General features: G+C 34.3%; 1 protein-coding gene and 1 pseudogene across 26 annotated transcripts in view; one reads left to right on the forward strand and one right to left on the reverse strand.

Moving 5' to 3' along the window:
* Positions 1-13,145, reverse strand: part of IMMP2L (inner mitochondrial membrane peptidase subunit 2) — an 899,849-nt gene that overhangs the window by 745,399 nt on the left and 141,305 nt on the right. For 7 of the 26 annotated variants that reach the window (NM_001350961.2, XM_047420925.1, XM_011516609.3 and 4 more), the window contains one exon: positions 9,217-9,300. The exons of 17 other annotated variants lie outside the window; for them this stretch is intronic. In NM_001350961.2, the coding sequence (NP_001337890.1) occupies positions 9,217-9,300 (84 nt within the window). Of the gene's footprint in view, positions 1-5,902; positions 9,301-13,145 lie in introns of those variants that run through there. 2 more of the 26 variants (XR_007060162.1, XM_047420928.1) reach the window with 2 other exon arrangements.
* LOC100420226 (argininosuccinate synthase 1 pseudogene) lies at positions 3,277-3,838 on the forward strand (annotated as a pseudogene).

Raw genomic sequence — 13,145 nt, forward strand, 5'->3', positions numbered from 1 at the left:
CATGCTCAAGGTCATAGAACTAAATATATATTAATTAACTTATAAAAATAAAACATTCTACCTTAAATGCTAAGCAACAGCACTTATCTAAAACAAACCAAAAAAGTAGAAGATAATACCATATGTGTACATACATGGTAAGTTCCCTGTAAGTAGCGTATTTAAGATTTTCCAATAAGTGACCAACTTGCAACACTTCTGATTATCTGTATAGCCATTGAAACAAGTAATAAGTATAATATTTATTATAAGACAGCTTGGCCAGTACTTGGTGCATATTCAGTGAGAGACTTAATTACTGTAGACAAATATAAAGAATGCTCATGATCTAATCTACTGAATCACTATGTTCATACAGACACAGAAATATCACTATGGGTACACATAAATACAACTTTATTCTGCAACAGTCACGCATAAACACACACACAAACTCTAAGTCACACAATCTCTATAATAAAGATTTTTCTAGTGCATCATATCACAGAACTGCAAGCATATCATTTTGTTCCTGTAACTGAAATGTACAATGGGACAAGATGAGATGACAGTGTGTTTTATCTTTTTCATATGAAAGTTCAGTAATAAATTTCACATGGCAGTAAGCCAATATGAATGAAATACTTGGAGATACTAACTTCTCATGTATCTACCAATAAAACACTCTCAAATTTACAGATACCCCTAGAAAAGACAGCTGATAACCACATTGTATGTAGTTAATATTTTTTTTAAATATGAAGGCATATAAATGATCAGCAAGCCTGACATTTAGATATTTGACAACAATGTATTTTAAGCAGTCTAATAAAACACAAAGCACAGATGTAGAGGAAGGAAGATATGTAACTAAAACCACATTCACCTTCAATTCCTTTGCAGACTAGCACTGAAAAACCTACATCAGCACTTTCTGTCTAGATGATATATTGATACAAAGCTAGAATAAAAATGGTGATAAAAAGTACCATTTGTAATTGAAAATAAATGTTGCTAAGTGCTGACAAGCTTCTGTCAGTTAAATTGTTTTTATTTAGAAATATTTTGCATTTCCTCTATTATTCTTAAGAAACTTTGTAATTAATTTTTGTTCCAAATAATGTTTTTGTGTATTGATTACACAAACTAGTAATATTTACATTTAAGACATCCATTTAAAGTTGAAGAAACCATTTCATAATAGAAAGCCAATTCCTACCCTTAATTCTCTTAAAATTTAACGTCCACCTAGAAAGCAATGCATCAGTAATAAATTTATGATTCAATATGGTTATCAGCCCACAGCTAAAAATTTGCAGATCTGTATAACCAAGCATATTAAAAGTCCCCATGGATAACATATAACCATGAGTAACTCTCATAATTCAACATGCACTACAGTAAGAACCATTACAACTGCATGTTTTCATTGTTAGGTCCCAATCCATTTTTAAAAGAAGCTGTACATGTACATCACCAACTTGCACATACATGCAAGTAAAATTAAATTACCTAAAGGGTATCTTCTGAAAAACCTGAGAGTTTTTTTTAAGACATCAGTATAACCTTGGTTAAATAATCTTATGGTCTCTATATAAAGATTTGAAATTTCTGAAAATAAAAACATACAGTAACATAAAGCTTGCTTCTAAGAGTAGCCAGATTCAATATTCAGATTTAGAAAAATTACATTCATTAAATTTAAGTGAAACAAATAATTATGCTGAACTTCTACAGGATTGCCCTCAAAATCCTATACATAACTAGAAAAGTGGACAAAATATATAAAGCTATTTCAGATAGTGGACCAATGGCAGAAGAGGCATGTGATTATTAACAAAAGGGAAACAAATCAGGTGATATCTAAGACTGCCCCTATTCCAACCTAGATGCAAAGTCCAAACTGTGGTATAAGAATGGGGAACTCAGAGCCTCATGGTCCAAATAAGTTGAGAAACAGATTAGAGTTTGAAGACACTGGGATGGCTGGAATTTGTGGGACATATTAAAGATAAAAAGAACGCTATGCAGAGATTGGCATAAGAATACTCATGAGGCTTTGAATAGGAATCTGTGCTGCATAGGGTGAAACTCCAAGCAGCCAAGTGAAAAATAGCAGGAAAAGATCAATTTCAGGGGAGTTATAAAGTGAACAATTCCAAGAATGAAGAGCCCTTGTTGTTGAATACCCAGAGTATTCTGTAGAGACTCCAGAAAGCTCATGCCTTAGTAGTGAGTCTAAACTAGCTCTAAAGATTACCCTAGATCATCCTTGAAAAGCACAAAAATAGCCTTGAAATGAGCAGGCTGATCTGCAAATAATTTAAATGCCTACCAAAAAAGTGGAGGGTGGTGGGGAGAGAGACCATTTAAAAGAAAAACCAAAATGTAATTAGTACTACATTAGTAACCAAAAAGAAAAACCAATGTAAATTAGTATGTACATTGTTCAAATTCAGCTGAACAATGTAAATACTAATATTCAATGCCTAACAGTGAAAAAAAAAATTAGAGACAGACAAATAAAAGGGAGGAAAATGTTGCCCACAACTAGGAGAAAAATCAGTCAATAAAAACAGATCCAATTAACAAAGATAACAAAATTAACATTAAAAGGCCTTAAAACAGCTATTAAAATAAGTTCAATAAGATTAAAGACTTAAAGGAAATATGAACATAACGAGAAGACAAAGAGAACATATTGAGAATCACCAAATTAAGTGTCTAAATATTTAAAAATATTTTTGATACGAAAATGTTGCAGATAAGACACTACAGAAAATATCAGTGAAGCTGGAAACATAGCAACATAAATTATTTTAAACAAAGTATGAAGGAAGAAAATATTTTAAAAATAAACAGTCTTGGTAACATGTGAGGGCAACAACAATCTAACATTTTTATAATTCAAGCACTAAAATAAGAGGAAAGAGGTCAAGAAAATATTTAAAGAAAACATGCCCCCAATTTTTCTGAATTTAATAAACAATATCAGCCTACAAATCCAAGAAGTTCAACAAAGCCCAGGAAGAATAAAGAAAAACCATGACATGATATAATCAAATTGCTAAAAAAAAAAAAAAAAAGTAACAAAGAAAAAAATCTTAAAAGTACCCAGAAAAAAAGGCACATAATATAGGAGTAAATATAATAACACATGTCTTGTCAGAAATTATGCAAGCTGGAAGGAAATGGAATGACATTCTTAGAGTGCTGTTAGAAAAAAACTGTGAGACTAAAAATCATACAGCCAGATCAAATATTTTTCAAAAATGAACACAAAGGCAAAGATGTCATTACCGATATACCCAGGACCTAGCCAAAGCCCACAACACCCCTGAAATTCTCAAGATCAAGTTCAAAAAAAGGGGTCCCCGTGAAAGTGACCATCAAGATGGCACCACCTCACCAGACCTCCTTGGAGCTCTTCGTGTACCTGAACGAAGTCACGGGCAAGCACGGCATGGGCTGTATTGACATTATGGAGAACTGCTTCATTAGAATAAAGTCCAGAGGTATCTACAAGACCCCAGCAGGCACCATCCTTCAACAGGCTGATTTAGACATCGAGGACTTCACTATGGATCGGGAAGTGCACAAAATCAACCCTGAGTGTAAATCTGTCCACCATTGCATCACCAAGTCCCAGGAGCAAATGGAAGGAAAAGTGCAGGTGCCCATCTTCAAGGGCCAGGTGCACATCCTCAGCCAGGAGTCTCTACTCTCTCTCTACAAGGAGGAGCTGGTGAGCGTCAACGTGCAGGGGAATTATGAGCCAATCGATGCCACCGGTTTCATCAACATCAATTACCTCAGACTGAAGGAATATCATTATTTCCAGAGTAAGGTCACTGTCAAATAGACCCATGTACAATGGAGACCTGGGGCCTCCTCACTTTGCAGCTCTCCCAACTACAGGTGCTAATTGTTGTGACGATTTGTAATTGTGACTTGTTCTCCCCAGCTGGCAGAATAGTGGGGCTGCCAGGCCCCAACTTTGTTCCCTGATCTCCCTGAAGCCTGCAAAATTGGTCATCAAAGGGAAGGGTGGAGGACAAATGCAGGAGTAAGCTATAAAATGACAATTAAAAAATAACAATTCTAAATATTTATGCACCTAATAATGAAGCTTCAAAACACATGAAGTAAAAACTAGAACTGAAAGGAAAAAAAAGAAACCCATAATAATAGCTGGAGATTTCAACACTACTCTCTAGGTAATTGACAGAACAAAGAGACCAGAAACAGTAAGGATATAAAATACTTCAGTGGCACCATCAACAAGTTGACCTATTTGATATTTACAGAACACTCACCCAACAATAGCAGAATACACATAATTTGCTAATGCACGTAAAAAAATTAACTAAAATAGGGCATATTCCAGGCCTTAAAAAAATGGATTGAAATCACTCAAAGTACTTTCTTTGATCACAAAGGAGTTAAAACGGAAATCAATTAAGGAACAAGTCCTGAAATATCTGGAAGTCAAACAATATAATTCTAAATAATCAATGGAAAAAAGAAACCACAAGGGAAATTTAAAAACATCTTGAATAAAATGAAAACATAATATACCAAAATTTGTGGGAGAAAACTAAAGTACTGCTCAGAACAGTGTTTCCCCAAATGTGCTACACACTAAAAATCACATAGGGAGTTTTTAAAAATCCCATTGTACCTCATATCAATTTAATCAATTAAATAAAAATATCTGGGGATGGGAGACAGAATTATTAATTTTTAAGGATTCCCCAGACAATTCCAATTGGCAACAAAATTTGAGAGCCACTGGTTTAGAAGAAATTTTTTTTTTAAATAAACTTCTACGTTAACAAGGTAGAAAAAGAAAAGCAAATTAAAATCAAAGTACATAGAAGGGAAGAAATAATAACAAGCAAATAATCGAAGAAATAAAAAACAAACCCAAAGCTGCTTTTTGGAAAACATTTTTAAATGATAAATAGCTAGATGACCATGGGAATAAAATAGAAAAGACACAAATTAACAAATATCAGAAATAAAAAAGGAGATATTATCCAGATACTTCAGACATCGAAACAAAAACAGAGGACTATTGTGAACAATTTTATACCATAACTTGGATAAATTAAATGAACCAATTGATTAAAAGACACAAATTATAAAACTGAATCAAAATAAACCCCTCATCAATCTCAAAAGTTTAACTCATAATTAACAATCTTCCCAAAAAGAAAATTCCTGGACCAGATGGTTTCACTGGTCAATTCTATCAAATATTTAAGGAAGAATTAAACCCTATACAAACTTTTTTTAGAAAAGAAAAAAAGAAGAAATACTTCCCAGCTTGTTTATGAAGCCACCAAGCCTCCAAATCCAGATAGAGATTACAAAAAAAAAATAAAAGACAGACCAATGTATCTCATACATATAGACATAAAGAAAGATCTTTAACAAAATATTACCAAATCAAACCCAGCAATATAAAAAAAAAATACATCATGATGAGGTTTGGCTTATCCAGGAATGTGAGATGGGTTTAGCATCCAAAAATCCAATCAATGTAATTTACCATATTAACAGATTAAAAAACAAAACTATATGACAATATCAATAGTTACAGAAAAGCATGTGGCAATAATCCCTCAGTCCTAATTTAAGAAAAAAAAAAAATCTCAGCAAAGTTGAAACAGAAAGTGTGCCAGTTATCAACCTCTTGCCTGTCAGCTCCAAATTTACCCTTCCCTGTCCTGCTTTGTGATGTGGGAGCTAGACCCTGTATCTTTTCTTTGCCAGCTGCTGTAACACTAAATTTTGTTAGCAGAGGGTGCTGGAGAGAACAATGCAAGATGAAGGAGCTTCTCTTTCTGCTTCCGATATGCTTTGTTCTCCTGTTTTTCTTATGGCAATCAGCATCACAAAGATACCCAGTGATACTCACATCCCAGCAAGTTGCAGCAGCACCTCCATAAGCAACTTCCCAGCCAGTTCCACTAGCATCCCAAGTGGTTTCCTGGCAAGTCGCAAGATGTTCCAACCAGCAGTTTCCCGGAAAGTTTCAAAAACACCCCCATGAGAATCTTTGCAGTGAACTTGACCCCCTCCTCAGGGGCTGGCTCACTTCCACCACATACCACAGAAGCAAGAAGAGAATAAAGTACACTAGAACCAGAAAGAGAAGCCCCTTCCTCCTGTTCCCCTGCAGGAAGATTCCGAGTGAATTTCAATGTCACCTCTGCAGGCAATTTCCCAGCAAGTCTCAAAAAGACCCAGAGGGTAGCTTCCTGAATCAACAAACTAGGGTGCATCCATGTAATCAAATATTAGTGAGTGATTTAAAAAATCATAACCTATAAAGCCATGGAAAGACATGAAAGAGTCTTAGCCAGCATACTGCTGAAAGAAGCCAGTATGAAAAAGCTACATATTGTATGATCCCAATTAAATGACATTCTAAAAAAGACAAAATTGTATAAACAGTAAAAAGAACAGTAGTAGGAGTAATGGGCAGGAGGAAGATAGAGATGAATAGGTAGGAGCATGGGATTTTTAGGGAAGTGAAACTATTCTGTATGATATCACAATGATGGAAGCATGACATGCATTTGTCAAAATCCATAGAGCTGTACAACACAAAGAATGAACCCTAATGTATAGACTTTAGTTAATAATATTGTATCAATATTGGTTCATCAGTTTTAACAAATGTACATTAATGTAAGACTATCATAATAGGTGAAACTGTGTACAGGGAAAAAGGGATTATATGAGAGCTCTCTACAAAAATATAAAACTGCACTAAAAAATACAGTCTATTAATTTTTAAAAAAACACATTTTCAAATTTTCCCATAGCTTCCTGTAGTGGGCAGAATTCTAAGGTGGCATCCCAGATTCCTGCCCACTGGTGCACACACTCTGAAGATTCCCTTCCCCTTGGGGGTGGGTAGGGCTTTAAGTATGATAGTTTTCACTCCCAGTATGATGTTACATTATATGACAAGCATGAAAAGATTGTATTAACGTAATTAAAGTCCCAAAGCAGTTGTCTTCGAGTTTGTCAAAACAGAGATGATTCTGGGAGTCCTTAAAAGGGAGTGGGTCCTCCTTGAAGGATAAGCCTCAAAGCTTGAGAGAGCTTTTCCTGTTGGTCTTAAAGAAGGGGGCCTGTATAGGAGCCATGTAGCAAGGACTTACAGGAGGGGACCTCTAGAGACCGAGAGCAGTCTCCAGACAAGAGCTAGCAAGAAAATGTGGACTTCAGTCACACAATCCCCAAAAACTGGATTATGCCAACAACCACATGAACATGAAAAAGGATCCTATGAGATCCCAGATGAGATTATAGCCCAGGGGAGACCTTGACTTTAGTATATAAGAACTTGAGCACAAAATTCAGCTATGCCCAGACTTTTGCCCTACAAAAAGTCTGAGATAATTAATTTATATTTTTACAAGCCACTAAGTTTGTGGCTTATTAAACAGCAATAGAAAACTAATACAGTCTGTTACCTTCAGGTTGACAAATCACCAACGTCAACAAAATAGGCTAAAAGAAGACATTTTGGAATTTTGTACATTTTGACAATTGAAGTGAATTTCATAGTCATAAAAATTTACTTATTTTGCATATAGTTGGCATTTGATATTTTGAAAAGCCAAATTATAACTAGTATATATGACACAACCACAGCCTATAGAAAAAAATTACACACCTGAGAATAAAATGCAACAACAAATCTATCAGGAAGTAATTTAGGAATAAAATTCTCAATTTCAAAGAAATTTCACATAACAACTTAAAATTCTACTTAGGATTTTACAAATTGCTACCAAGTGATAATTAAATGTTTTTAATTTTTAAACATATACAGGTTTTAAACAACAACAACAACAAAAAAACAGAAAAAAAATTTTGAAACCTGCAAATAAAACATATCATGAGTCCTAAATTTCTGAAAAGAGATTTGCATAATTTTCCTTAATTGTACACTTTAAAATGGTTCATAATATTATGTGAACTTCATCTCAGTTTTAAAAAGTTAATCTGAGCATTCTAAATATTAATTATAATTATTACATGTAGATCTACGGAGAACATCTATTCCCAGTTTTTGTCAACACCCAACTACGCAAATAAAATCAACAGCACATAAACAGAAAATCATCAGCTATCCCATTAAAGTACATATTGAAACTTTATATACGATGCTTGAAAGGTCACCTGTTCACTGCATTAAAAATTTCTTCCCCGTGCTAGGCATACAATGAATAAAATATGCAGTCTTTCAGAAAACTGTATGTAATGATATGTCATAGCAGTTCACACAATTGTACTAAACAATATGCATGCTTTCTGTTTTTCTATCAATTAAATATTCAGGAATTACTGTCAAATGCCATGTCATAGCATGACAGAGATTTAGCCCAGATTTTGAAATCTGGTTTGAACCACTAGAATTAGCAAACTAAGCAGCAACATAAAATATTAAGCATGTCAACCAAATAATCCACTTTCCCTCTGTCTTTGGAGATGCCTTATTAAATTTCCTAAGAGAAAAATAAAAGTACTTCATGTAAAAAGTTTTAACCCCTGCTTTGAAAACACATATTTTAGCCCATCATATAAGGTTTTTTAATATGATTGGTTCTAATAATCATATTTTTAAAATCCCAACCAGAAGAAGCACTTTAAAAGTATTTTTTCAGTTTAATATGCACAGGTCTGCCAGCATAATATTTGTCCATAATTAAGAAAATTGCTTACTTGCTCAGTAGGCAATACATGAATCATATGTAGTATAAAATTAGACCACAATTGAGAGTTTAATCCCTAAACAACATCCAAAGTTAAGCAGAATATGGTATGATACATAATACCTTTAATATAATTAAATGAGCCTTAATTTTACATAAATATATTAATAAATTAGATATATACTATCCAATACAGTAACCATAAACTACATGTATCTATTTAAACTGAAAATAATTTAAAGTACATAAAATTAAAGATTCACTTTCTTAGTTGCACTCACCACATCTCAAGTATTCAACAAACTACCATATTAGGTAGCACAGATATAGAAGATTTCTATCATTGAAGAAACAGTACTTATTTGACAGAGTTGAGTTTACCATAAAACTCATCATAAAGCTTAAGCTTCAGGCCTCCTCATTTGAAAATGTCCCTGCAGGTACCCTAGCAATGTGTCCATGATTATATATTTTAGTAAAATTTGTAAAAGTAAGATACTTTGCCAATGAAATATCTTTCTCCACTTCCTCTTCTTCTCCACCAATCTCCTGTTGTCGGGTGGAGGGCGTCACAGTGAGCAACCTGGGGATCATGCAAAGGGTGATATATTCAGTTTGGGTGATACATTCAGAATTGGTAGCACATTGTTTTTAGTGGGATATATGTAAGTGGTTCTTGGTCATTTCTATGTGTAATTAGTTTACCATCTGTTCCAGTATAGGAATGGCTTCTAGGAATACATCCCTTTCCCAACTGTGCTAACTCACATGGGGTCCTGATATGAAGGTTCGTAGTCAGAGGTCTATGAAGACCCCTCAATGTGTAACCTCTGTCACGAATGTGTCCCATGGCAACGAGAACTAAAGATTTGTGGCAAATGGGAGAGAAGCAGAGACTGAAATTTATACAGCCAGAAGCTACTCTGTGGAAAATTCTTCCAATAAGGAGACATGAAATAGAATAAGCAGATAATTCCATTTGTAATCAATGCCTAGTCAAGTTTTCTCTTATTAGGAATAGAGTTGATAGTGCATATACAATTATAAATGTAGCAGACATTTCTTTTTTCTTTTTGATGGGACTCACAATGAAATAGAACTTTTCAGACACTGCGTTTGCAAAGCCCAAATCTGCAGCTGTTCTATAAATACTATGTCTGTGAGTGAAGCTGCACAGTTTATACAGCTCAATTATCAATAATAAAAACAAAATCTTCCTAACCATAGTACAGGAAAGTCCAATTTATCTTTCTAAATCTATAAAAAATTATATTATAAAGTCATTGTCATCTGAGAGGGGCTCAAACATTATGTATCCTATAGATGTGGAAAAGGTAGTTTAAAAGTGTGATCAGCAGCTATTTTTCCAAATATTATTATGATAATGTCACTGACCATCTTTTACGAAATTGTAATCAGTTGTGATTTCTTTTCTCATTCTAAATACATATTGACTTGTATATAAATTTGCATCTGTAATTTTGTATTTTTTTTAGGAGGGCTGCCTCCAAATGGTCTGCCTCCTTTCAGGTCCCCAATAAAACCTTGATCTGACCCTGATGCTAGAAAATTATGTCTTGATTAAAATATATATTCACTAATTAGTAATCTCTATGTATTCCTTTCTTCATCCTAGATGTACTGCAATATCAATAACCCAGTCACATCATTGTCACTGAATTCTAGGATTTAAAAGGGTAAATTTGAAATACGTCCCTTCTGCTCACTCTGGACCTAATCTGATATCTTTTCAGCCTTCGGTACAAAAAGCTCACACCTCACTAGCACTAATACAAATGTCATTCCTAGTAATTAGGTTACACTGAGTGCCTTTGAGCTTTGCAGTGCTACTGCCAGTGAAGTTCTTAATACATTTACAGTCATGGTTATTTAAACCACTAAGGCTTTTCTTTGAGTAAACAATATATTGATCAAATCAAATGCTAGCCTGACAATACCAATTAATTTAAGAAAATAAAAAATACACAAAAATTTCTGTTATCTAATTATATTGAAGAGATTGCTCCTAAAACAAACATTTGTAAAACCACCTTTTTGTACTATGAAAATTATATTTGTACACATACAAATATAAAAATGCCCAATAGCTAAATGCCACTTATGCAAATAGTCCCTAAGTTTTCTTTGATTTACAGTTTATTTCATACTCTTTATATTTCATTAAGCCATCCTTCAATAAACTATTTTTTCAATATTGTGTTGCGAAGATATTCTCAGCCTGAAATTACATCAAATAAATTACAAATCAAATTTCTGAAAGCCACTGCCATAGGTGGAAATCAAATCAAATGCCTAGCTTCACATAAATGGTTAAAGCTTTAAATAAATTGCATTTATATAATTGCCTTACTTGCTGCTGCCTCCTACAGCTGTAGAATAATGTTATTCCAATATATGAAGAATATATTGGCAGACAAGACTAAAAAATTTTGAATTATTAATTAAAAATGGGAAGTTTTATTAAATACATTAAAGAACTGAATTTAGACTTGGAATACATATATTCCTGTAGCTCTGTTTCTCTGATTAGGCCCTGACTGTTACACTTTTACTAAAGATTTTTTTTAAAAGGAAGAAAAAATTTCTTACCTAAGAGGATTTGGAGCTGTGAAAGGAAATGGGCCCCAAAATCACTAAGCTAAAGGGAAAAGTCGATCTGGGAACTGCTTAGGACAAACCTGTCTCCCGTGCTATTCAAAGTCACTCCTCTGCTCACTGAAATAAATGTGTATCTGATTGCCTCCTTTGGAGAGGCTAATCAGAAACTCAAAAGAAGGCAATCATTTGTCTCTTATCTACCTATGACCTGGAAGTCCCCTCCCTGCTTTGAGTTGTCCTGCCTTTCTGGACAGAACCAATGTTTATCTTACATATGTTTATTATGTCTCATGTCTCCCTAAAATGCATGAAACCAAACTGTGTTCTGACCACCATGGGCACATATCGTCAGGACCACCGGAGACCTTGTCACAGGCACGTGTCCTCAGCCTTGGCAAAATAAACTTTCTAAATTAACTGAGACCTGTCTCAGATTTTCAGGGTTCACAGAACAAAATGATAATTTACTGCCCTTACTCAAAAAATATTGTCCTATTCATAGAAAAAGAAAATGATAAGGTGGTTTCCAGACACTGGAAGTAGTGGAGAAGTGTTACATAGTTATTGCTTAATGGATACACGGCTTCAGTTTGAGACTATGAAAACATTCTGGAAATGGATAGTGAGGATGGCTGCACCTGCACCACAATAAGAATGTATTTAATGTCATTGAACTGTACACTTAAAGATGGTTAAAATGGTACATTACATGTTATATATATTCTATCACAATAAAAATGTTTCAATTGTTCTAATTATATTTACATTTTTATATTCATTTTTTCTGAGATTCAGCCTGAATTGAAAAGTGCTTCATTATAAATAATAGAAATTAAATACTTAAGTTGGTCATTCAAACTCACAATAAAATGGAGAAAAGAAATCAAGTTTTCTAAGTTGTGACTCTGTGAGCACTTTACTACCACACAAATTGAGAGATCACAAAAGAAATTCCGAACTTCTCTGACCAAGGACAGTTGTTTTGAAACAAATAAAAAAACTATCTGTACAATAAAGGTACAGGTGAAACTTTCTTTTTTTTAAACTTCAAGTTCTAGGGTACATGTGCACAATGTTTGCAGGTTTGATACATAACTATGCATGTGCCATCTTGGTTTGCTGCATCCATCAACTCATCTTTTACATTAGGTATTTCTCCTAACGCTATCCCTCCCCCAGCCCCCCACCCCCCGATAGTCCCCCGTGTGTGATGTTCCCCGCCCTGTGTCCAGGCGATCTCATTGTTCAATTCCCACCTATGAGTGAGAACATGCGGTGTCTGGTTTTCTGTCCTTGTGATAATTTACTGAGAATGATGGTTTCCAGCTTCAGCCACATCCCTGCCAATAACATGAAATCATCCTTTTTTATGACTACATAGTATTCCATGGTGTATAAGTGCCACATTTTCTTAATCCAGTCTATCAATGATGGACATTTGGGTTGGTTCCAAGTCTTTGCTATTGTGAATAGTGCTGCAATAAACATACGTGTGCATGTGCCTTTATAGTAGCATGATTTATAATCCTTTGGGTATATACCCAGTAATGGGACCGCTGGGTCAAATGGTAATTCTAGTTCTAGATCCTTGAGGAATCACCACACTGTCTTCCACAATGGCAGAACTAATTTACAGTCCCACCAACAGTGTAAAAGCATTCCTATTTCTCCACATCCTCTCCAGCATCTGTTGTTCCCTGAGTTTTTAATGATTGCCATTCTAACTGGCATGAGATGGTTATCTCATTGTGGTTTTGATTTGCATTTCTCTGATGACCAGTGATGATGACCATTTTTTCATGTGTCTGT

Source organism: Homo sapiens, chromosome 7 (genome assembly GCF_000001405.40).
Source record: "Homo sapiens chromosome 7, GRCh38.p14 Primary Assembly".
Lineage (NCBI taxonomy): Eukaryota > Metazoa > Chordata > Mammalia > Primates > Hominidae > Homo > Homo sapiens.